The sequence below is a fragment of the Homo sapiens genome, chromosome 15, assembly GCF_000001405.40.
Source record: "Homo sapiens chromosome 15, GRCh38.p14 Primary Assembly".
Lineage (NCBI taxonomy): Eukaryota > Metazoa > Chordata > Mammalia > Primates > Hominidae > Homo > Homo sapiens.
The window spans coordinates 68,039,470-68,065,912 of NC_000015.10; the positions used below are offsets into that span (position 1 = coordinate 68,039,470).

The 26,443-nt window shown below is 40.7% G+C and overlaps 1 protein-coding gene across 6 annotated transcripts in view, besides 3 other annotated features; it reads left to right on the forward strand.

Moving 5' to 3' along the window:
• Positions 5,503–6,023: an enhancer, noted in NCBI's record as "H3K4me1 hESC enhancer chr15:68337310-68337830 (GRCh37/hg19 assembly coordinates)". NCBI's record gives its function as "activates a minimal SCP1, AML or CMV promoter by ChIP-STARR-seq in naive H9 embryonic stem cells {active_cell/tissue: H9 hESC(naive)}" and the evidence as "EXISTENCE:reporter gene assay evidence [ECO:0000049][PMID:30033119]".
• Positions 6,024–6,543: an enhancer, noted in NCBI's record as "H3K4me1 hESC enhancer chr15:68337831-68338350 (GRCh37/hg19 assembly coordinates)". NCBI's record gives its function as "activates a minimal SCP1, AML or CMV promoter by ChIP-STARR-seq in naive H9 embryonic stem cells {active_cell/tissue: H9 hESC(naive)}" and the evidence as "EXISTENCE:reporter gene assay evidence [ECO:0000049][PMID:30033119]".
• Positions 14,645–15,144: a silencer, noted in NCBI's record as "silent region_6583". NCBI's record gives its function as "represses an Ori minimal core promoter by ATAC-STARR-seq in GM12878 lymphoblastoid cells {active_cell/tissue: GM12878}" and the evidence as "EXISTENCE:reporter gene assay evidence [ECO:0000049][PMID:35858748]".
• PIAS1 (protein inhibitor of activated STAT 1) overlaps positions 14,846–26,443 on the forward strand; it is a 139,533-nt gene continuing 127,935 nt past the window's right edge. The window contains exons 1-3 of one of the 6 annotated variants that reach the window (XM_011522126.3): positions 14,846–15,769; positions 16,330–16,444; positions 18,011–18,111. In XM_011522126.3, coding sequence (XP_011520428.1) covers positions 18,061–18,111 — 51 coding nt within the window. In that variant the 5' untranslated portion in view covers positions 14,846–15,769; positions 16,330–16,444; positions 18,011–18,060. Of the gene's footprint in view, positions 16,445–18,010; positions 18,112–26,443 lie in introns of all 6 variants that reach the window. The other 5 variants (NM_001320687.1, XM_017022688.2, XM_017022689.2 and 2 more) reach the window with 5 other exon arrangements.

Sequence of the window (26,443 nt, forward strand, 5' to 3'; positions counted from 1 at the left end):
AGACCATCCTGGCTAACATGGTGAAAACCCGTCTCTACTAAAAATACAAAATATTAGCTGGGCGTGGTGGCATGCATCTGTAATCCCAGCTACTCAGGAGGCTGAGGCAGGAGAATCACTTGAACCTGGGAAGGGGAGGTTGCAGTGAGCTGAGACTACGCCACTACCCTCCAGCCTGGGCGACAGAGTGAGACTCCATCTCAAAATAAATAAATAAATAAATAATAAACAATACAGAGGATCAACAAAATGAAGAGTTGGCTTTTTGAAAAGAACCAAAATTGATAAACCACTTGCTAGACTAAGCAAAAAAAAAAGATCCAAATAAAATCAGAAACGAAAAAGGAGACATTATAACAGATACTCAGAAATACACAAGATCATCAGATACTATCATGAGCAACTATATACAGTAAACTGGAAAATCTAGAGAAAATGGAAAGATTCAATATATATAACCTACCAAGATTGAACCAGGAAGAGAGAAAACCTAAACAGTCCAGTAACAAGTAATGAGATCAAAGAAGTAATAAAAGTCTCCCAACAAAGAAAAGTCCAGGACTAGATGGCTTCACTACTGAATTCTACCAAACTTTCAAAGAAGAGCTAACACCAATTGCCAACAAACTTTTCCAAAAAATTGAAGAGGAGGAGATTCTCCCTAACTCATTCTATGAGGCCAGCATTACCCAGATGCCAAAACCAGACAAGGATGCAACAAAAAAGAAAACTACAGACCAATATACCTGATGAACATAGACACAAAAATCCTCAAAAATACTAGCAAATCAAATCCAACAGCATACCACAAAGATAATACACCATGATCAAGTGGGATTCATCCCAGGGATGCAAGGATGGTTTGACATACGCAAATCAGTAAACAGCATCCATCACATTAACAGAATGAAGGACCAAAACCATATGATCTCTCAACTCATGCAGAAAAAGTGTTTAATAAAACTCAACATCCCTTCCTGATAAAAACTCTCAACAAACTAGGCAGAGAAGGCATACCTCACCATAATAAAGGACATGTATGACAAACCCACAGCTAACACCATACTGAATGGGGAAAAGCTGAAAGCCTTTCCTCTAAGAACTGGAACAAGACAAAGATGCCCACTTTCATGACTCTTATTCAATATAATACTGGAAATCCTAGCCAGAGTGATTAGGCAAGAGAAAGAAATATATGGCATCCAAATTGGAAAAGAGGAACTCAAACTGTCCCTCTTTGCTGATGATATGATCTGTGATCTTATATCTAGAAAAACCTAAAGACTCCACCAAAAAACTCTTTGTTGAGAAAATAATTCAGTAAAGTTACAGGATACAAAATTAACATACAAAAATCAGTAGTGTTATTAATAATAAACTAGCCAAGAGAGAAATAAGAAAGGTAATTCCATTTACAATAGTGACAAAAAAATATACCTAGGAGTAATTTAACCAAGGAGGTGAAAGATCTCTGCAAGGAAAACTACAAAGTACTGATAAAAGAAATTGAAGAGTACACAACCAAATGGAAAGACATCGCATCTCATGACTGGAAGAATTAGTATCATTAAAATGACCATACTCTTTAAAGCAATCTACAAATGCAGTGCAATCTCTATTAAAATATCAACATCATTTTTTCACAGAATTAGACAAAGCAATTTTAAAATTTGTGTAGAACCAGGAAAAAAAAAAAACACCTGAATAGCCAAAGCAATCATGAGCAAAAAGAACAAAGCTAGACGCAGATATAGTAAACAAAACAGGATGGTATTTGTATAAAAACAAACACATAGACCAATGCAACAGAATAGAGAATCCAGAAATAAATTTGCATGTTTACAGACAACTGATTTTCAACAAAGGCACCAAGGTCATACATTGGGGAAAGGTCAGTCTCTCCAACAAATTGTACTAGTAAAATTGGAAATTCATATGCAGAAGAATGAAACTGGACCCCTATCTCTCACCATATAGAAAAATCAACTTAAAATAGATTAAAGACTTAAAGGTAAGATCTGAAACTATTAAAATACTAGAAAAAATATAGAGAAAACACTTCAGGACACTGGTCTAGGCAAAGATTTCATGGCTAAGACCTTGAAAGCACAGGCAACAAAAAGAAAAATAGACAAATGGGACTTTATTAGACTAAAAAACTTTGACACAGCAAAGAAAACTATCAACAGAGTGAAGAAACAGCCTGTTATAAGGGAAAAAATATTTGCAAACTATTCATTTTTCTAGAGACTAATATCCAGAATATACAAGGAACTCAAATAACAATCAATCCCATTAAAAAGTGGGCAAAGGCTGGGTGTGGTGGCTCATACCTGTAATCCCAGCACTTTGGGAGGCCGAGGCAGGTGGATCACAAGGCCAGGAGATTGAGACCATCCTGGCTAACACAGTGAAACCCCATCTGTACTGAAAATACAAAAAATTAGCTGGGCATGATGGCATGCACCTGTAGTCATGGCTACTCAGGAGGCTGAGGCAGAAGAATCACTTGAACCCAGGAGGCAGAGGTTGCAATAAGCTGAGATTGCACCACTGTACTCCAGCCTGGGCGACAGAGCAAGACTATGTCTCAAAAAAATAAAAAATAAGAAGTGGGCAAAGGACATGAAGAGCCACTTCTCAAAAGAAGACATACAAAATGCCCTCTGTCTCAAAAAAAAAAAAAAAAGTTACTTAAAGTCTGTGTCTAGTAAGTCTAACGTCTGTGCTGCCTCAGCGATGGTTTCTGTCAATTTATTTTTCCCACTGCTTTCCTATTTCTTTGTATGCTTTGTGGGTTTTTGTTGTTGTTGAAAACTGGACATTTGACTATTATAATGTGTTATCTCTGGAAAACAAATATTTACATTCCCTAGAGTTTGCTGTTCTTGATTGTTGATGGCTTAACTTTTGTACAGCCAGGGTTTTTACCGAAATTTCCCTGAACATGGGGAACTTAAAAAACAAACAAAAAACTTTTTCCAATCTTTGCATCTGAGTTTTTGCAGGAGCACCCCTTTAACACTTAATAAGGCCATTTGAAATTCTTCCTCAGCAGTCATTTCCTGGTTGCACTGAGTCTATATATCAACCAGTGGTGGAATCTTAGGCTGTTCTCAGTTCTCTGAACATGCATCCTGTCCCAGACATGTGTGTTGCTTTCTAAGTTGCCCTATATACAGAGCACTTTTGAATTTGAATGCCCTAATTTCCCAACAATTCTCTCTCCCTGGCTTTTACTCCCAGGCTTTAGGAAAGTTATTCTATGTACCAACTGTACTCTTCGGCCCCAGGCAGTTGCAGTTTGTTTGTTTGCCTTACAATGTTTAAACAACGCCTGCTGCTTTTCTACAGTGGGTTACAGTGTGAAAACAGAAATGAGCACTTTGTTTCAGTTTTTCAGGTAACACCCAGGCAGGTTAGAATAGACATACCTAATAATTGTGTATAAAGTTGGCTCTGCTCTCTATAAACAAGGACCGGAGTCCCACCCTGGGAAGGTGGGCTGCTGTCGCTAAGACTGCTATTGAGTCAGGGAAGGGTTCATAAAGTTTTCTTTCCATTTTCAAGTTGCCTTAGAAAAAAAATTGGCTGGGCGTGTTGGCTTACCCTATAATCAGAGCACTTTGGGAGGCTAAGGCAGGAGGATTACTTGAGCCCAGGAATTCAAGACCAGCCTGGGCAATGTGATGAAACCTTGTCTCTAAAAACATAAAAAATTTAAAAGGTAATAAATAATTTTTTAAAATGAGCATTTGCTTGGTTGCTGTAAATCTTTAACTATTTCCCAAAGTTCTGATAAAGTTGCTCTGACAATTTCTGGTTATTTGTTCAATATTTCTGTGGCGGTGTGAAAGTTTGTAGCTGCCTATTTCTCCATTTTGCTGATGTCCCTCTCTCCACAAATTCGGACATATTGCATCTTCATTATGCACACACACACACACACACACACACACACACACACCCCTAAAAAAGTAATAATAATGTAATTATAGAGATGGAGAACAGGCTAGTAGTTCTCTGGGAATTACGGATGGGTAGAGAGGATGGGTGTTATCGATGTCAATGTTTCAATATATGCAATATATGTATGTACATATATACATACACACATATATGTATACACACATAAACACATACACATATGTATACTTTTCATATATGTACACATACAGATGTTCCTCAGCTTAAGATGGGATTACGTTCAGACAAACCCATCATAAACTGAAACTATCTCAAATTGAAAATGTATTTAATCCACCTAATCTACCAAACATCATAGCCTACCCTAGCCTACCTTAAATGTGCTCAGAACACTTATATTAGCTTACAATTGGGCAAAGTTGCCTAACACAAGCCTATTTTATCATAAAGTGTTTAATATCTTATGTGTTAATTTATTGGATAGTTTTTGAAAGTGAAAACAGAATGGTTGTATAGGTACTTGAAGTATGGTTTCTACTGAATGTGTATTGCTTTTTTTTTTTTGAGATGGAGTCTTGCTCTGTCGCCTGGGCTGGAGTGCAGTGGTGTGATTTCAGCTCAGTGCAACCTCCACCTCCTGGGTTCAAGTAATTCTCCTGCCTCAGCCTCCCCAGTAGCTGGGATTACAGGCACATGCCACTGCGCCAAGCTGAATTTTGTATAAAAATACTACTAAAAAGTAGAGACGGGGTTTCACCATGTTGCCCAGGCTGGTCTTGAATTCCTTATCTCAGATGATCCACCCACCTCGGCCTCCCAAAGTGCTGGGATTACAGGCATGAGCCACTGCGCCTGGCCAAATGTGTATTGCTTTTGCACGGTGGTAAAGTTTTAAAATTGTAGATCAAACCATTGTAAGCTGGGGACAGTCTATATACACCTACTTTTTATTTTGAAATAATTGTAGAGTCACCTGCAAGAGAAATGTACAGGGAAGTCACATGTACCCTTCTCTCAGTCTCCTGCAATGTTAACATCCTATGCAACTATAATACAATATCACAACCAAAAAATTGGCATCAATATCACCCATCCTTTCTACCCTTCCCTAATCCCCAGAGAATGACTAGCCTGTTCTCTATCTCAATAATTATGTTATTATTATTATTATTTTTAGACACAGGGGTCTTGCTATGTCGCCCAGGTTGGTCTTGAACTCCTAGGCTCAAACGATCCACCTGACTCAGCCTCCCAAAGTGCAGGGAGTATGGGTGCAAGCCACCAAGCCCAGCCTATGTCTATAATTATGTTATTACATGATTGTTACATAAAGGCAATAATGTACTATGTATTCTTTTGAAATTATTTTTTTTAACCCAGCATAATTTCCTAGAGATTTATCCAAGGTGTTGTATTGTTTTTTCATTGCTGATTAGTAGTCCATGGTATGTATGTATCGCAGTTTTAGCCATTTATTCATCAAAGGAGATTTGGGTAGTTTCCAGTTTTGGACTCATAAATACAGCTGCTATGAACATTCTTCTACAAACTTCTGTGTGAAAATGTCATTTCTCTGTCTAAGGGTGCAAATGCTGAGTTGTACAATAAGTACATCTTGTTTTCAAAGGAAGTACCAAACTATTTTCCATAGTGGCTGTACCTTTCCTACCAACATGCATGTTGGTATTCATATCTAAGTGTGTGATCCATATCTAAGAAGACTATGTCTAACTCAATAACATAGGGATTTTCATCTAATAATTTTTTAATTTTAATTTTTAAATTCAGGTCTATGATTCATTTTGAGTTTTTTCATTTTTTTTTTTGTATTGGCTGAAGGCCACAATAATCTTAGGGTCCCATGAAAATGCTTTAAATCTTTTCAAATAATAAGAACAAATTAAGTGCAATTGATGGCAGCAGCGGGCTGTCCACGGCGGTCGCTGTCATCAGGTCAGCTGCTGTGGGGAGGGTGCCAGGAGGAGGCAGAGCTGGGCTGGAGTAATGCTGTGCTCCACAGAGCCAGCAGGAGCCAGGGTAAGCGAGAGCCCCCCCGCCAAGCCTGCCACGTTGGGTGCCACTGCAATGGGGCTGAGCTGAGCCACCTGCCAGCAGGGAGCAGCATGGTTGGGCACAGAGGGGTGGGCAGAGAGGGGCCCAGTAAGGACCTGGAGCTGCAAGGAGGCATGGCCAGGGCTGCCTGCATGCTGCTCCACAGAGTAGGCAGGCGGGAGTCCTACCCTCCCAGGCACAGGACCTGGGCATCTCTGCAGTCTGCACCCTTGGGGTCCTGGGAAAGTCCCCCTCCCCCCTCAGGCTTGGGGGGTGTCTGCTCCTGCTGCCTGGCCTCTCCCTGCCCCTGGTGCCTGCTCCAATCTCAGAGCAGGGTTGGGGCTGAGCCCAGGCACTGTTACAGTCTGGCCAGGTGTGTGCACACTTGGAGCAGAGCTGACACACCAGCCCCCTGCTGTCTTGGTCCTTTCCGGAATTTGGGCCCCAAGGAGCTCTGGGGGGAAGCCGAGGGGCGCCTGAGGGCAACCCAGCACTGGCCTACAGGTGCCCTTTTGCACAAGCAGCCTGGGCACCATGGATGGTGGCAGGAGGCAGATCGGCTCCTGGGTGGAAGAGGACAGGTTACTGGTGAAGCCCCACCTTCAGGCCAGGCTGCTAGTACTGCTGACTGGAGTGGGAACTTGTGGTGCCTTTTCCAGGCCCTCCCATGGCCGCCCACAGACCAATTGGCAGCACTTCCTCCCATCTGAGGCCCATAAAAGCCCTGGGCTCAGCCAGAGCACTGCAGATGATGAGACGTCCAGCTGCAGAGAGGAGCTACCCTCTCTGCTGATAGCTGAACACTTGTCAGGATGGCTAGCTGCAGAAGGAGCTACCCTCTTTGCTTCTAGAACTCAACACTTGTTGGGATGACTTGCCTAGCAGAGAGGAGCCATCCCCATCTCGCCACCTTGCAGGCGAAGAGGAGGAAAGAAGAGCTGTGGCCCTTCGGGGAGCTCAGACCTGGGAGCTCTTCAAGCCAGGGCTGTCACTCCCTCCTTGGAGCCCTTCGGTTCCTGGTGTCTCCAAGCTTCCAGGCACCACCATGTTCCCTGGTGCCAGGAATGGAAGCTGCTTGCATGTGCCTGGTCCAGCTGCAGCCTTGCAGAGAGCCAGCGTGCAAGCTGGCACCTAGAATTGCTCACCCTGCTGAGGCAGCCGGCATGTCTGACTGCACAGTTGGACTCCATGCTCACTCACACACCCCTCACCCCTCACCCCTCACCACTTCATGCAGTCTCCCTCGGCAGGGGAGGGATCCTGGTTGGTAGTGTGAGCCGAGCGCAGCCTGCAAAGCCAAGTGGGCAGAGTGAGCCCAGCGGGCCTGAGCAAAACTTGGACAAAGGTGCCACTGGCCACAGAGGTTTCCAGCCAAAAACCAACACCCCAAAGATCCACTAACATAATCAGTTGGGATTACATTTGTATTTATAGCAACACAGTTTTAAAACATAATTTTTTGGGCTTGGTGGCCTGTGCCTATAATCCCAGCTATTGGGAAGCTGAGGTGGGAGGATCACTTGAGGTCAGGAGGTCTAGACCAGCCTGGGCAACATATGGAGACCCTCTCTTTAAAAAAAAAGTGAAATATAGGCCAAGCACAGTGGCTCACGCCTGTAATCTCAGCACTTTGGGAAGCTGAGGCAGGCGGATCACCTGAGGTCAGGAGTTCGAGACCAGCCTGGCTAACATGGTGAAACCCTGTTTCTACTAAAAATACAAAAAATTAGCTGGGTGTGGTGGTGCGTGCCTGTAATCCCAGCTACTTGGGAGGCTGAGGCAGGAGAATCATTTGAACCTGGGAGGCAGAGGTTGCAGTGAGCCGAGATTGTGCCATTGCACTCCAGCTTGGGCAACAAGAGTGAAACTCTGTCTCAAAAGAAAAAAAAGAAATATAGTTTTTTTTTTGGCAGGATGTGGTGGCTCACGCCTGTAATCCCAGCACTTTGGGAGGCCGAGGCGGGCAGATCACTTGAGGTCAGGAGTTTGAGACATAACAAGCCTCTTTTCATAACAAGCCTCTTTCAATCACACCTAATGAGGTGACATGGAGTGGGGCCCCTAAATGGCTTTAGGATGGGTGCTGGTCCCCACAAAATTAGAAGGTGGGGCCGGGGATGGCAAGACCCTGTCTCTACTAAAAATACAAAAATTAGCCAGGCGTGGTAGTGCACACCTATAATCACAGCTACTAGGGAGGCTGAGGTAGGAGAATTGCTTGAACCCAGGGGACGCAGTTGCAGTGAGCCGAGATGGCACCACTGCACTCCAGCCTGGACGACAGAGTGAGACTCTGTCTCAACAAAAAACAAAGAAACAAAAAGAGCAAATATAATTAAATTTTTTAATAGAAGAATGTACCTCTGATGTTCTTCCTGACACTAAATACATGGTGACTTTCCACACCAATTCTTCAATTCTCTGTCAGCAACTGGGTGGCCTACAAGTCATTTCAATTCTGACGTCAACTCCAGGAGTTAGTTCAGATCCCACAAATTAATGGCTCAGTCCCACAAGGATACCCTCCTTCAGACACCAGTCACAAGTTCCTTAGGCCACCTGCACTCCGACTGACCAGCTGTGAAGTCAAGGCTTCCTATAATTCCTTCCTCATGGTGAATAATTCACTAGAATGACTCACAGAACTGAGGAAAATGTGTTTCTTACATTTACTAGTTTATTATGAAGGATGCCACTCAAATAACTGAATGGAAGAGATGCACAGGGCAATGTAAAGGGGGACTATGCAGAGCTTCCGTGCCCTGTTGCTCTTCCCCACAGTACTCTCGTGTGTTTGCCAGTGCAGAACCTCTTCTATCTCTTGTTGAAGAATTTATAACTCAATCACCAGCCCCTTCTTCTCCCTGGAGGTAGGGCATGGGGTGAGGCTGAAAGTTCCCACTTTTCAATTATTTTGGGGGTGGAAGGAGGAGGTCTCTCTCTGTTACCCAGCCTGGTGTTCAATGGTGTGAACACAGCCTACTGCAGCCCTGACTTCCTGTGCTCAAGCGATCCTCCCACCTTGGCCTCCCAAAGTACTGGGATTACAGGTGTGAGCCACCATACCCAGCCCCCTTCTAATTTTGTGGGGATCAGCACCCATCCTGAAGCCATCTAGGGGCCCCACTCCATGTCACCTCATTAGGTGTGATTGAAAGAGGCTTGTTATGAAAAACAAAAGATACTCCTGTTAGAAAATTCCATGTGTTTTAGGAGCTCTGTCTCAGGAACGAGGGACAAAGCCCAAATACAGTTGATCTTTGCACAACCAGGGGATTAGGGGAGCTGACCCTTCACACAATAGAAAATTTACGCATAACTTTCACTCCCCAAAAACTTAATTATTAATAGCTTACTGTTGACAAGAAGCCTTACCAATAACATAAACAATTAGTACATACATTGTATATTATATGTGTTATGTATTGCATTCTTAGAGTAAGCTAGAGAAAAGAAAATGTGATTACAAAAGTCATACGGAAGATTGTTCATTAAGCAGATGTGGATCATTATAAAGATCTTCATCCTTGTCTTCACATTGAGTAGGCTGAGATGGAGGAGAAAGACCAGGGGTTGGTCTTGCTGTTTCAGAGGTGTCACAGGCAGGGAAAAAAGCCACCTACGAGTGGATCTGCGCAGTTCAAACTCGTGTTGTTCAAGCGTCAACTGTATATACATTTACTGTAGCATAGAAACCAAGAAAGCAAAAGTGCCTAGGGCCATGGAAGTCATAACGTGGCCCTTTGAGTTAGGCAGTTTTACCAGCAGTTTTGAGACTATGGCAGCTTGGAATGGGTCCAAAAATAAGCATCAGTGGATGATGGTAGTGGAGATGCAGTGAAATGAACTGGCTTGGGCTTTGATTTAGAGTCAGTTGGACCGGCTGATGGATTCATTTGAGAGGTGAATGAAAGAGAAATCAGGATGTCTTTACAGCTTTTAAAATTTGAGGCCAGTTATGGTGGCTTACACTTGTAATCCCTGCACTTTGGGAGGCCAAGGTGGGTGGATCGCTTGAGCTCAGGAGTTCAAGACCAGCCTGGGCAAAATGATGAAACCCTGTCTCTACAAAATATACAAAAATTAGCTGGGCATGGTGGTGGACACCTGTAATCCCAGCTACTTAGGAGGCTGAGGCAAGAGAATCACTTGAACCCTGGAGGTGGAGGTTGCAGTGAGCCAAGATTGTGCCACTGCACTCCAGCCTGGGTAAAAGAACAAGACTGTGTCTCAAAAAAAAAAAAAGAAAGAAAAAGAAAAAAGAAAAATAAATAAAATTCGAAACCTTGCTGGCTCTCTTTTAATAGGTTTTCTTTTTCAATATTTAAGGAATTTTTTTTTTCTTTTAAGCTGCTGATAACTTACAGCAATTTGGTAAGGCATACTTTTGCAACCAAAAATTCAAAGATTTGCTTTTCCTTCCTACCTAATTCCTCCAAAATCTGGAAACTATTCATGAAGATTCTTATTTTTATGACAATATGGTTATTTGCATAAGTTCAATAAGAAGCTCTTCTCTTCAACAAAATACAACTGGAAATATTGGTTATATTACCAAAGCTTTGACTGCAATGTCATATTGTATTAATCTGTTCTCACCCTGCTATGAAGACATACCTGAGACTGGGTAATTTATAAAGAAAAGAGGTTTAATTGACTCACAGTTCCACATGACTGGGAATGCCTCAGGAAACTTACAATCATGGTGGAAGGTACCTCTTCACGGGGTGGCAGGAGAGAGAATGGTTGCCGAGCAAAGGGGGAAGCCCCTTATAAAACCATCAGATCTCGTGAGAACTCACTATTACAAGCACAGCATGGCGGAATTCCCTCCCACCCCACTGCCAGTGCTGTTCCTTCATTCATTCATTATCAATTGAATTGATGCCGATTCAATTATATCCACCTAGTCCTGCCCTTGACACTTGGGGATTATTACAATTCAAGGTGACATTTGGTTGGGGACACAGACCCAAACCATATCATATATATATATACGTATATATATATATTCATATATATATACATATATATTCATATATATACATATATATGAATATATATATTCATATATATATTCATATATATGAATATATATATGAATATATATATATATAGCAATGTCATATTTTAAAATGTGCATGGAATCATAGAATGCCAATTTTCAAGTGTTCTCAGCTTTATAGTGAATAAAAGTAGTCACTTCCAGGCAGGCCCAGAAGCCTCAAGATATTAGATATTGCAGGCAAAGTCTGATGTCTGCCTTGGTTTGACTTCCTAACATCAAGAGGTTTTTAAAAGTCCAGATTTGTTGTCACAATTTCCAGCAAAATAAATTTAAAAGAAGCCTATGTGGTTATTCTTGCCGCACTTATGTAAATAATCAGGTCAAGTTTGAAACTAAATTAATTTTAAAAATAAATTGGTCTTACCATGATTATCTTTGGTAGAAATGGGAATGACTGTAGAGAGAAAAATTATGTTTCTGAAGAAAACCATAGTACACCTGTTACTAGATTGCAGCTTTGTTCATTGTTTTTGAGTTTTTATCATCTATCTATAGACTAGCCTGGATCCTGAGTTCTTGTTGCCTTCAATATCTGACTGCAATTCTCCAACCATGAACAAAAACTGCTAAGCTGAACAACTCGATATAAATTTCAAGGGACAAGTCCCATGCTTGATGAGGGAGCCACATAGAGAGTTTAGCAGAACACCTGATGCCACAGCCAGAGACATTTAAACTGCAAACCAGGATGAGAAATTGCTGACATCATGTTGTGGACAGCGTTTTCCAAGACTGTCAGAATAAGACTCGCTACCATGATAAGACTCCTTCCCTTCTTAATTTTTTCTTGCTTATGCCCACCTCTTCCACTTGGCAGGATAATGCTGTAGTTAAAATTTCACAATTAGTAGTTTTTGTGGGTAAGTTGATAAAGGGTCAAACCCAAACATTTACAGGACCCAAGAGAGCTTTTATTCCACCTAGTGGGTAACTTTAGCAACATCCCTAATGCAACTGTTTGTTCAAATTTTACTAGTGGCCTCTTTTGTAGAGTTAGCACTCTTTGCTTTAATTTAACCCATTTCTGAGATGCTAGATGATAGAATTGCTGCGTACTAACCAAACGGGGAAATCTGTGCTGTTGCTGTCACTTCTTGTTGTACATAAATAATCTGGTATTGTAGAGACTCAGTTTCAAAAAGTTAGCAGGCTACTTGGTGAAAACAGGTAGATTTCTCATCTGGCTCATTCTTTGATCTATTTGATTTTAGTTGGTTTGGTTTATGGCAACCCTAGCTAAGAAGCATACTCCGAACTCTTGGCATTGTCCTCCTGATAGTCACAATTCTCAATTATGTTCTCTCAAAAAGTTTTACATATTTGCATACAGCCAATTGTTGAATGTCATATGGTCTCTCTTCAGCTGCAATGACAGAAATACAAAATCATGAGGACACTGTAATCTATAAATGATGTGTTGAGACTGGAAACACAGAATGATGTTAAATGAGGGTAGTGCTAATGCCCTCAGTCTTAGTCACAATTTCACCTAGGTTGTTAAATAAAAATCATGGGATGCCATTGTTTTCAACCAAATTCCTGCATCAGGCCTCCAGATCAGACTAAAAATCAAAATGGTGTCACCCATGTTCACCAAAACAAAACTGAGTTATCTGGTTTTCCAAAAAATGGTAAGAGAGATAGCCAATTTTCCAAACAGAAGTTTCAATCTTTAACAGGCATGATAATGAAATTTCCTGTTTTAATCCTTAAAATAGAATACCTGAAGTAACCCAATGTTAACCAATCAGTTTTCTTTCTACTGTTCTGTCTCCACGTCTCCACCTTAAAGAAAAGTGACTTTGATATAACCAATCTGCTTTTTGTTGTTTCTGCCTTCTTCAGTCTATTTTCTGTCTCTAAAGTTAACATCCTCTGCTTGATTCATTGCAACATTTATTCTATTTTGTGGAATGAAGTTTTGTCCAATTCTAGGAGTGCAATAATGCCAATGAGATCTTGAATCTCAATTTGTTTTACTTTTGTTTCTTGACAATGGAGAGGTTTAGGCTAGAGAGCATTTTCAAAGTCATGAGCATATAGACTTCAAGTCAACCAGTTAGATGAGATCACCTGGTGATAAAATAGAGAAGAATGCAAGGACCGAGCCCTGGAGCAGTCCAACATTTAAAGATTGAGCCAAAGAGGAGAAACCAGCATATCAAAAAGGAGGCCCAGTGAGGGAACAGGACTATCTGTGACGTGTAGGTAAGTTCAGGGGGAAAAGTGTTTCAAATCAAAGGAACCATGTCAATTATTCGCGATTCTACAGAGAGGTCAATTGAGATATGGATAGAGAATTGGCAATTGCCTTTGGAAACAAGATCATTAGTAATCTTGATAAGTGATACAGATGATGGAAGCCAAAGCTCGATCAGGGTAGACTGAGAAGTGAATGTGAAGTGAGAGGTAGGAACAAGCACTATTGGAGAGATCTTGAAAAACCTTTCTAAGAATTTATGAAGATAGCAGAAAAATAGGGCAGTTCCTAGAGGCGATTTTGGAGTCAAAGGAAGTTTATTTTAGATGGGAGAAATTTCAATATATTTATATGCTGATAGGAGCAATTCAATTGAGAGGGAAAAAACTAACGATGCTGGAGGGTAGGTAATTGTAAGAGTAAAATCCTTAGGAATGTGCGTGAAAAAAATCCGGTCACTGGTAAAGGGACTGGCCTTCCTAGGCGCAGGGACACTTCATTCATAGCAACCCAAATGTTACTATGCAGATAAGGGTGGTTTTGATGGTGAGAAGATAAGGGAGTTTATTTCTGATATCTTTCATTTTTTCCATGAGTTATGAGGCAAAGTTGATTAGTAAAAGTGGGGGTTGGGGAGGAGGTATATAGAAGGCTTTCAGTAGAGACGAAAAGGAATGAAATAATCCTTCCATCAAGTCTACTTAAATGTCAATTTAGTGGATAAAACCCTCCCAGAATTAAGTACATCTCCCAAACCCTTTCTCTCTCTCAATGACCTTTTGCTCCTTTCTGGTACTCACTAACATTTGCAATTGTATCTTTGTTCGTTCACTTCTCTGATTCCCCATTAGAGAACTACAGAAGGGCACGGACTTTGATTTCAAAATGTATATTTAGCCGTTAGCACAAGGCAAGCAGATGGTCACTAAATAAATACTTTTTTAAACAAAAATGTTAATGAACACCTTCAAAATTTTGTCTTACGCCACCTCGTTAAAATACTTGTTTGTGCAAGTCACTTTTCCTCTCTGAGCTTTCATTTCTGAATCTATACCATGGGAATTATCTCTTCCTTGCCTACCTCCCCTCGTTATCAAGAGGATCTGAGCCAATAATGATAGAAATGCTTCATTAAGGGCCCCTTAAATGTAATGGATTTCTATTTTTAGCCCACTGGTAGCCTCGCAGGTAGCAGGTGCTGAAAAAGCCTTGCTTATTGGGGGTTGGGGGACAGCATTGTTTCTGTGACCGTAGGCGTCGAAGCTATGCAGAAGCGTTCCGCGGACCGCAGAGAGATGGGGCTCAGGCCAGCATCCCTCTCGCTCCGGCCCTTCCCGGGAGGAGCTGGCCGAGCTAGGATGGGGGGCAGGGAGACCGAGGGGGCAGTAACTGTCAAACCTCGCCGCTTGGCGCCATTATTTAAATGGAACGTGCCTGTCTCGCAGCTGTACGTGCCCGGGGCGGGGCTTCGAGCGCCCTGAGCGGGGCGGAGGCTAGAGGCGGGCTGGGAAGGTGGAGGGGCGGGCCGGGGCGGGGCCAGGCCGGCTAGAGGGGCGGGTCTAGCGGCGGCCCCCGGCGAAGTTCACTGCGCTTGCGCTGACAGACGCAAGATGGCGGACAGTGCGGAACTAAAGGTAAAGCGCAGCTCGAATTCACTTCTAATATTCGGCCGCGGAGACGGCGCCGCTGCTGCCAGGGGGGATGGGTCCGACCCTGGGGGGCCTCTCGGGCCTGACTCCACCCGGGCCTGGAGTTGTAGGGAGAGAGGCGCGCCCGGTCTCAGCAGAGGGGGCCCGCCTGCGGCGGGCCGCGGGCCCCGGGTGCCTCGGGGGCGCTGACGGGTCGTCCCCGGCGTGTTATTGTTGTGGGCGCCTCTGGCGGGGGTGGCGGGGGAAGAGATAGGGAGTCCGGAGGTAGGGGCTGCAGCTGTCTCATGGGCTCGGCTTTTTCACCTTCCAGTTAGCCTCCCTGCCCCCCATGGGGAGCTGGGGCTGGGGGCAGGGTGCTCTCGTAGGGGGGATTGGGAAAGCTCCCCGTGGCCGCTTCCTCTTCCTCCTTTGCAGTCCCGGGCTCCTGTCAGGCGCTCTTCTCAGACCCCCGGGAACTTGGCTTCGGCCGCCCCGCCCCTCCGTGGATCCCAGTAGCCCCCGCCCCGGACTCGGCTTTCCCCGGCTGCTCGCTTGTCAGGAAGCGCCTGGGGTGCCCCGCTTGTGGGAAGCGCGATCCCGGGGCGATAGGGTGGGGATCTGGGGGAGAAGCTCTGGTAAAGTTTAGCGAGCCCCGGGCCGGCGTTGGGGTTCGGCTGAGAGGTAGTGAGCGGGACGTTACTCTTTCTCTCTGATTCCGGGCAGCCGAGGGGAGAAACCCCCTCGAAGAGTGTGTCTTTGGAAGCAGTGTTGGGAGGGGGGGATGCAGCTACCTCTCTCCCTTCTTTTGCCTTAGCTGGTGTGGAGGGTGAGAGGAGCCTTTGGGGGTCTCTGCACACACCATGATGGCGATGCTGTAGCTGATGGAGGTGAATGGTTCGTGTTTATATCCCCCCATTGCCTTTTGTTTGTAGGGACATCTTGCTGGCCATGTTGATTTGAACGAAATTCTCCCCTCATGCTACTCCAACCCCCGATAAATAGAACGTTCCTCTTAACAGTACCAATTACTCACGCCTCACGAAATTAGATGAAAGGGTGCCCCCTTTTCCCCGCTTTTCTCCCACCCCAATCTTTACCTGATGATGGCTTCTTTACCGTAGCAGATATACCACTACACAAGCAGTTGGGGGAGGGGGTGGTGGAACCCTTATGACTGGATTGTGACAAATGGGGCTCCGCTTGAATAATTTTGGTTTAGTAGCAGGCAGTTCTTAACTAACGCGTATTATTTCGAGGCTCTGAACGCGATCTTCTCTGTGGCTTCCTGTGTGTGTGAACCCAGCAGCTGGTTATGTCTCGACCCAGAGAACTGACATCTCTGTCAGAGAGGAGATGGGGATATACAATTGTAAATCTTTGGGGAGAGTCTTCTTTTTATAATAAATAAAAATTATTTAATTTTTTCCCCGTTATAATGAAACGACAACTTCTAGAACAACCAAATGCCAGATTTGATTCTGTAGAGTTTTTCCTGTGGAATATCCTCACCGAAAGAGCTTTTCTCCTAATAACTTCACAATGTTTACACTCCAAGATTCGTATGTTAAGGTATTGGCTTTGAGTGTCATTCTTTTAAAATGTACTTCTAATTACAAATTTACTGAAGGGAGAGCAGATTTACAATGGATGGTTTTGATTTTTCCCCAGTTTCAAACTATTGACTGAAATGAGAAAGCCTTAGGAATTTGAATATTTGGAGATAATTAACCCTTGAAATAAAAAAAAGCACACAACTTTAAGACATGTTTTCTATAATTTTTCTCTTAGAGTCACTATGTTGCTGTGATCTTTGCCTTGTAATATTTATTTTGTTAGGAGTTCTTTTGAATGATAGCTAATCAGTTGTTATACATGGACCATAGAATAAAGCTGAAAAGCATGTGCAGACTATATTGTCACTCTTGATGCTGTCCAAAGAAACTAGTATGGAAAGCACATGCTGAGAGATTTCCTTCTTTGTTCTTTCTCATTTTAAGAAAGTGCCTTTGGGGATAGATCAGATCCCTGGTGTGAGTCTTGTTAGGTAAAGTTTCTCTTTACGAAAATGAACCAGTATCAGATAAACACCAAACACTTGAAGAAATGTTATTTTTCTAAAATTAATCTCGTTTTTTGTGCTCTCCCAAATCTACTAGAGTTTTTCCAGAGGAAGTTTTTTTTTTCTACTCTTATGTTCCTGTTGTATAATTTTTCAAATTATAATAACTGTTTTGACATGTTGGTATGTCATTGTGTGTGTCTGAGACTTTGAGGAGCTGTGTGATAAATTGCTTAGCTGGTGATAGCGGCGTTAAAAAAATTTGGTTAATACTTTATTGTGGTTAGATTTGCTGTTCTTTTTTTGAGGGGTGGAGGAGGTGATCTCAGGAACGCCTACCATAGTTATTTGAGAATGTGTTAAAAAAAAGAGAATGTGTATATATAATTTTCTGTGCAGTAAGGTTTGGCAGATACTCCTTTTGGAAATGATATTTTCTGAAGGCTTTTTGTTTGTGATTTTTTGGAGGTAAATATCATACATTCCTAATATGATAGGAAAAATCAGAGTAAGAAGAAAAAAATCTAGATTTTTTGAAATTTTAAATGGGAATAGAGTACTTCAACTGTGAAGCTTTACATAAAACTCAGTGACTTTTCATTATTTTAGGTTTCAGCCCCATACTTCATTTTGCTGTGGATTGTATTCATAATTATTTTCCTCATGGCTTTTTTAGTGAGTCCTTTTAAATCTATAAGAAATGTGCAAAGATCAGATGGGAAAAACAGATAGATCTTTATCCCCTGTAGGAATTGTGCAAGCTGCAACACTTCAAGATATTGCCAATAAAAATTAGATTGTGAGTCATACATATCAAAATGAATTCTCTATGCACATTTGTTTATGAAAGGTTTAATTTTTCATTAGGGGAGTACCCATAAATGTCATTTTTAAGAATGTGGAGGGTATTTTGTCATCTTTAGGAACTTAGAAGCAGGAGGGTGTGATGGCCAGATGATCTTGGTAGTTAATAAGCTGACAGCTTCATGAAACTCCTCTTAAAGTAATTTAAAAAAAAATATGTGTTTTTTTGGAGTAAAACTCAAACCAAGTTATAGTGCCATTTTAATTTACAGGAAGAAGAGTGGGAGAGAAGAAGTCCATCAGCATTTTAGTGGAGTAAATAATGAAATTAAATGGGAAGAGAAACCATAATTATAAAAGTTACTATGAGTGTGTCAGTGAATTCTATTGTTATTTTCTGCCTCTTTATTTTCAAGAAATAGCTACTTAATTTTGATCCTTACGCTGTAATTTGTCTGCTTTTATTTCAGATAGAGTCAAGTACATCTGATAGTTTATTCATGGATTTGATTTGAATCTCTATAACTTGCTTTTGTCAAGTGCCACATTTAGATGGCTTTTGTTTTATGTCATTATTTTTATCAACAGTATTTTAAAAACTCTACAGTATAGTTTATAAAATACTACGTATAGTTTCTAAGTATTTCATATGATTGTTTTGAAATACCTCCTTCTTTTCATCCACCGTTTTCTCCTGGGCGATCCCATTGTCTTTTTCTTCAAAGAGTTTCTTGTAATCCCTGTTGATTGCGGTAGTGCTTAGTGGCGAGTCCATAGCTGATTAACCTTGGGTGTCTCCTGGTGAACTCCATCAGCATGCTGCTCCAGGGTTCTTGCTGAGGCTTTTGAGTTTAGTGTAATTTGTACCCTTTTTTGCTGGTAACCAGGGATAAGAAAATAAAATGGCCAATGGTTGTAGCGGGAACTGGGAAAAAGTATCCAAGTCTCAGAAAAACTGGGTGTTTATGATGAGATGTAGCCTTTCAAAACAACAACCAAAAACGGATTCATTACTTCATAGAATTGATTGTGGTGTTTTCTGAAGTGTTTGACTCTGGCATGAAGCATCTTGCTTTTTTAATGTTTGAATAATAATATCTTACTTATATAGTACTTTGCAGTTCATAATATATTGCATTATCTCTTTTGATCTTTCCAACAGTTCTTTGAGGTAGGAAAGGCAAGTAATAACTAAATCCTTTTTATAGATAGAGAAAGTGAGCCCAGAAAGGGTACGTGACTATTGCAAGGTCATACAAATAAAAGTGGCAGGGACTTGAGCCTAGGTCTTGTGTAGTCCTCCTTAAAGGTCCTACAGCAGACCTGGAGTCCTCTAGGGTGCCCAGTTCACAGATTTCTACTTATGTTGTTGCTGATACTTTCCCTTTTGGAAAAGCTCTATGCTAGGGTATTTTTGGATATTCTAGGGCATTTTGCAAGCTTCCTTGCAAAAAGTTTGGAGTTTGTTAGTTGGAATCATACACATTAATTTTTGTAAGTATCATTTTGCTTGAGAAAATTTCAGAGAATCTGAGAAGTAAGCAGAAAAATAAACAGTACCTGTAATCCCAACACTCAGAGATATCATGGTTAACATCTGGGTATTTATCCACTTAAGACTTTCTCTCTGTGAGCATATGTATATGTATATTCATCATAAAAAGATACAACACTGTTTTTTATTTATAATCTGCTATTTTCATGTCTATCCAGGTTAGTAAATACAGGTCTATATGATCATTTGAAACCTTACATTGTGTTTTATTAAACTAGTCCCTGTCAGATTATTCTACTTTTTTTTTTTTTTTTTTTTTTGAGACGGAGTCTTCCTCTGTTGCCCAGGCAGTAGTGCAGTGGCGCGATCTCGGCGCACTGCAAGCTCCGCCTCCCGGGTTAACACCATTCTCCTGCCTCAGCCTTCGGTGTAGCTGGGACTACAGGTGCCCGCCACTACGCCCCGCTAATTTTTTTGTACGTTTTTAGTAGAGACGGCGTTTCACCGTGTTGGTCAGGATGGTCTCGATCTCCTGACCTTGTGATTTGCCCGTCTCGGCCTCCCAAAGTGCTGAGATTACAGGCGTGAGCCACCACCGCGCCAGGCCCAGATTATTCTCCTTTTTTTGCAGTGTGTTTGCAGACATGTACCAAAGTTTGCAGATGTTTTATTTTAACTAAATATATTGATATGACAGATCTTTTTTGTGCTTTAGAAAGCAATGCAGGACCGGATGCCATGGCTCACACCTGTAATACCAGCACCTTGGGAGGCTGAGGTGGGCGGATCACGAGGTCAGGAGTTGAAGACCAGCCTGACCAAGATAGTGAAACCCCGTCTCTACTAAAAATACAAAAAATTAGCTGGGCGTGGTGGTGGGCGCCTGTAATCTCAGCTACTCAGGAGGCTGAGGCAGGAGAATCGCTTGAACCTGGGAGGCAGAGGTTGCAGCGAGATTGCGCCACCGGACTCCAGCCTGGGCTACAGTGTGAGATTCCGTCTCAAACAAAAAAAAAAAAAAAAAAAAAGAAAGCAATACAAATGTTTATTTTATTTTTGTAGAGTCAGGGGTCTCACTGTGTTGCCCAGGCTGGTCTCAAATTCCTGGCCTCAAACAGTGCTGCCTCGGTTTCCCAAAGTGTTGGGATTACAGGTGTGAGACACTGTGCCTCTGTGCTCGGTTTTTACAGGTGTGAGGTACTGTGCCACTGCACCCACTCTACAAAATTAGCTAAAATGTTGTCAGTGAAATAAATTAGTCATTCTTGGTTTGTTCATTGTCATACCTTTATTGTTTATGTTTCTGTAATATGTGAGATAAGATTATTAAATGATGGCAGATACAGGTTTTACAAAATGTAAGCAAACATTACTTCAGCATCAGAATGTTTGATAAAGTATGAAATCGATTATGAAGTAGTATTTTATAATCTATTCATACTATTCTATGAATAGTAGAATTTCAAGTAGGCAAGTATGTTTGATTTTGGAAATTATATCACAGTGACCACATATTGCAAGTTTTTGTACCTTATTTAGATGCTTATCAGTTTTTTTTGTTTTGCTGGGATTACAGGTGTGAGCCACCACGCCCAGCTGATGCTTATCAGTTTTTAACTGGCATTTTAAAACTATATTGAACATTGCCAGACGTGGTAATCCCAGCACTTTGGGAGCCAAGGTGGACAGATCACGAGGTCAGGAGTTCGAGACCAGCCTGACCAACATGGTGAAACCCTATCTCTACTAAAAATACAAAAATTAGCCGGGCGTGGTGGTGCGCACCTGTAATCTCAGCTACTCAGGAGGCTGAGGCAGGAGAATTGCTTGAACCTGGGAGGCGGAGGTTACAGAGAGCTGAGACCGTGCCACTGTACTCCAGGCTGGGCGACAGAGTGAGACTCCGTCTCAAAAACAAACAAACAAAAAATCCCCCAAAAAACAAACACTATACTGAACATTAATATAGAGAAAATGGAAATAAGACTTTACCATATTTTTAATCTCAAAACAAAGTGTTGCCATTTAAATTGGGAGGTAACATAGTTTCAAGGATCCACAATCTCTGCCTCCGGGGTTCAGGCAATTCTCCTGCCTCAGCCTCCCGAGTAGCTGGGATTACAGGCATGCGCCACTGCGCCCAGCTAATTTTTGTATTTTTAGTAGAGACAGGGTTTCACCATGTTGGCCAGGTTGGTCTCTATCTCTTGACCTCGTAATCTGCCCGCCTTGGCCTCCCAAAGTTCTGGGATTGTAGGCGTGAGCCACCGTGCCTGGCCCAGGATCTGGTTTTAGAAAGATAACATAGGCAATGAAAGCATTTTTATTTTTAGAAAAAACCTTTATGAGTTAAACCAATTAATAAATGCATATGTGAATTAAGAATGCTATTTGTGCAACATCTGAAAAGTAGTGCATGTAGAAGGAACTTGAAATTGATCGTACTCTAAATTTGATTCGTTCGACTTTGGTCTTCACCTAAATCTGTATTTATGTAACGTTTTATCATTAGGATTTCTTTGAAATAGGCAGTAGAGACAATTTTAAAGTACTTAGTTGTCTTTAACCATCAATTTCAGAAGTAGTATTAATTGCCACTGCACTTTTTGCTAGATGTTTATGACTATATTTCCCCTTCCATGTTAAAAATTGTGCAACTCCTGTTACTTTTGATTCCCTCTACTCTTGGTTTCAGTAGTGTCACATGAAAAGAAAATTCCCTAGAACCCTTCCTTCAGAGTTTTCTGGTAAGTCTTCATTCTTAGCTATGAACTTCTAAAATTCGTCAAAATGAAGAAACCACCTTTTTATTTTTCAGCTTTTCTTTAGATCAAGCAAACAAAACAAACATAAATCCTTTGAATATTAACTAATGATGGAGATATCAGTAACTCTCATAGGACTGTTGTAAACGTTCCTATTTTTGAAAACTTAATCTCTTTTTTACCTTTTTTGCTATTCACTGCTTTCAGTTTACCCGCTTTGGTTGCCGGGTTAATTTCACCAAAACACTCCTTTCATTCTGTCACTCCTATCTATAAAAACTTTGAATGGCTTTCTATCGAAAACTGGATAAAGACTTAGTTCTCAGTCTAGTATTCAAGATTTTCTATTGTCTGGCCCCATTCCACTTTGTGTGTGTGTTTTGTCTCTTCAGCTGTATAGCAAAAGCCCTTAACTTAAAGCCAGAGCTGTTAGTTTGCGTCTTTTTGTTGGCTGGTGTTCTGTTTGTACACCCCCCATTCTCCCATCCCTACCCTGTGGACACAATAGGTGTTTTTAATATACATGTGTCAGATGAACAAATTATGTTTAAGATTTGTTTCTGTCAGAGACTGGGGCCTGATACTCTTGTCTATAAGACAATCTAAATTGAAAATATTTTTAGGGTCATATCTTCGCTCTTTTTTCTTGCTGCTGCTTAGATGAACTTGAATAACATTAAATCCAGAATAATTTATCAAGGGCTGTTTTAGATTTACCTTTTACATTATTTTAAGTTATAGAGATAATAAGTGACTACACTTCTCATTGTAATGATCTAACAGTAAATAGGGTAAAAATGGAAAGACCTCATCATCTTCATTCTTAGAGGGAATCATTTTGGTGTATATCTGTGTATTCTTATTTGGGTGGGCAGGGGGAGGTGACAGCTTTATTGAGATAAAATTAACATATCCCATTACAGTTCACCTCGTTAAAGTGCACAGTCAGGTAGTTTTTGGTATATTCACAAAGTTGTGTAACCATTAACCACAATCAGTTCTAGAATATTTTTTCACCTCGAAAAGCAACCCTACATCCTTTTAGCATCATCCCCTTCCCAAACCTTACCTCACTCTTAGCCCTAGGCGACTGATAATCTATTTTGAGTCTCTGTAGACTTGCCTATTTTGGGCATTTAATATAAATGGAATAAAAATATGTCACTTTTTGTGTCTGGTCTTGTATTCATTTTTTTCTCTGCATGGGCATTTAAATGTGTATGTCTGTATAATATTTTTAATTTATTGTGTGTGTGTATGTCTAGATGAGAACAAAACTAGGCACATAGAAGGAACTTAAGTGAATGTACATGTACATAAATATCTTTTCTAAAACTGTGAGACCATACCATATGTAGCATCCTACAGTTTGCTTTTTTTTACAATAGATAGTGAAGATCTTTCCATGACATGTCCAGACAATGAGATGGTCTCATTCTTTTTAACAGTGTGTAATATTTCCTATGTATGTTTATAGAGATTTACCTCTTGAATTTATCAGTGTATATGGTTAAAAGTTCTTAACAACTTGTTTTGATGGTTTTGCTATACACTACTGGTTTTTTTAAAAAAATAATTGCCACATTTAATGTAACCTCTGTAGTATTAATGCTGGAGTTTCACTTAACAATAGGAATGAAAACATCACAGGTAAGGGTTGTATAGCTTGAGGAGAAATGGAATGCAGGGTCTTTATGCAGTTCTGGCAGTGCTCAGCCAAAGCAATTCATTTTGTATTTGGGTTTCTGAATGTGAGCAAGCCTGTTTTTAAAAAAGCTCATGGCATAGTGCTTAAAATAGAACTTAACATGCTATCTTGTGCTTTATGGTGAATTTTAAGACTTTTTCTTGCAGTCATGCAAGTCTAATCTTAAAGATTGGAAAGATTTCAGAGTAAATATTTTTTCTCATATGTTAAAATCATCATTCTGGTCTATGGGCTTCTGTAAGTTACCCAAGAAGGGGACTGAAGAGGCACAGAACTGGCTCAGAAACTGGCTTATAGTAGATTCTCAGTAATTGTTATTTATTAAAGAATTATTTATCACATTCTGTTATTTATTATATTTTTGGGTATCTGCTGTGTATGAGGTACCAGGTTATTGGTGATTTTAATATATTATCACATATGTGTGTATATTTATTTAAATATTTCTGTTATAGCGGAATGTTTACTAAAAATTATCTTTTTAAAAATTATACAAGTAATGCATCAGTTCTTACAGAGGTTTTCAAAGTCTATTTCTCAGGCCTCTGGTGGTTCCCCGAAGTTTTTCTGAGGGTTCTCCAGGTCAAAATGATTTTCCTAATAATAGGCATTATTTACGTGCTGACATTTGCAAAATCAGTGGTGGGTAAAACTGCCAGCACCTTGGCACAAATTAAGGCATTGGTACTAAATTGTACTAGTAGTTGTGTTCTTCATCACTGTGCACTTGGAATTAAAAAAAAAAATGCCAGTTAAACTTTATGTCCTTGATGAAGCAATAAAACTTACTAATTTTATTGTATCTCAATCCTTGAGTACATTTAAAAATATATTTTGTATGATGAAATGAAAAGTACCTGTAAAACACTTTTATTGAATATCAAATCTGATGGTTAACTCAAGGAAAAGAACTTGTGCAGTTGAGTTGTGAGCTTTTTAAATGGAATACCATTTTTACTTGAAAAAATGGCTGGCAAAGTATGGTTATACAGACTAGGGTATTTGGCATACATTTTCATGAAAATAAACAAAGTGTGCCTGTCACTACAGGGAAAACAACTGACAATATTTGTTACTAATGATAAAATTTAAGCTTTCAAATGAAAATAGAACTTTGGAAGACATGTATTTGCCACTGTGAGCTTGACAGTTTCCCAATACTTGACTTTTTTGATAAGATCAGTGTGATATTAATGAATGTGTTATGTTGAAGTTGCATAGTGAAATATGTCAACATTTGGAAGAACTGCATAACTCAGTGAACTAATATTTTCCAAATAACCAATGCATGATATTACAAAATCATGCCTGGATAAAAAGATCCATTGGAAATGGAAGATAGACCAATGAATTTCAGTTTATCAGAGTGGGAAATATTCATTGATACGGTTTCAGATTCCTGCGTTGCAGCAGCCTTTAAGAACCTGCCATTTGTTGTGTTTTGGTGAAGGATCAAAGAATATCGAAAGTTATCTGAAAAGGCTAGAGCATTTTAATAAAAATACTCTATTTTTTCCCAACTCTATAGAGCTTCATAAGGCTAGATTTCCTTTATATTCTTCATCCAAAACAATCTAATACACAGATTGAATGGAAAAGTAGATGTGAGAATCAAGATGTCTTTATTAAGCTAGATGTTAAAGAGATTTGCAAAAATGTAAAACCATGATAGTCTTCTAATTTTTATTAAAAATATTTTTTAAATATGAGATTTATGTTAACAAGTAATGGATTAATTAATTAATTTGTTTTTTGAGATGGGCTTTGCCATGTCGCCCAGGCTGGTCTCGAAGTCGGGGGCTCCAGTGATCGCCTGCCTCGGCCTCCCAAAGTGTTAGGATTACGGCGTGAGACACCATGCCCAGCTATTATTTTTTTTTAAATGACAAATCTTTTAAAGTTTTCTGCTTTAACTGCAAATACAGTAAATATTGATAGATTTAATCGACATAAAGTTTTTTTGCGGGGGGGATGGTCCTCCACTTTCAAGAGTCCCAAGAGCAAAAACTTTGAAAACTTGATCTTTTTTAAAATTTAAAATTTACAGTACAGCAGTGCCTAATTTAAAATGGGACGATCCCTTTCACCTTCCCACTCATGGTATTTTTTATAACTTAAAAGGAAAAATAAGGCTGGGGGCAGTGGCTCACACCTGTAATTCCAGTGCTTTGGGGGAGACCTAGGCAGGCAGAGTGCTTAAGCTCAGGGGTTCCAGACCAGCCTGGACAACATGGCAAAACCACATCTCTACCAAAAATACAAAAAATTAGCTGGGCATGTTGATGCGCACCTGTGGTTCCAGCTGCTTGGGAGGCTGAAGTGGTAGGATTTTTTGATCCTGGGAGACAGAGGTAGCAGTGAACTGAGATCCACTGCACTCCAACTGGGTGACAGAGTGAGACCCTGTCTCGAGAAAAAAAAAAAAAAAGAAAAAATTTATTTCTAGTGATCTCTTACAAGGCAGTTTGCTAAGCAGAGTTATTTAATTAAATCCTGCATCTCTGTAAGTAATGCTAAACGGTAGTAGCTTGCATTGCACTGAACGAATGTGCTTGAAGTACTTTTTTTTTTTTTTTTTTTTTGGAGACAGGGTCTCCCTCTCTTGCCCAGGCTGGAGTGCAGTGGTATGATCATGGCTCACTGCAGCTTCGAACTCCTGGGCTCAAATGATCCTTCCACCTCAGCCTCCTGAGTAGCTAGGACTTCAGGTGCTTGCCACCATGCTCAGCTGACTAAA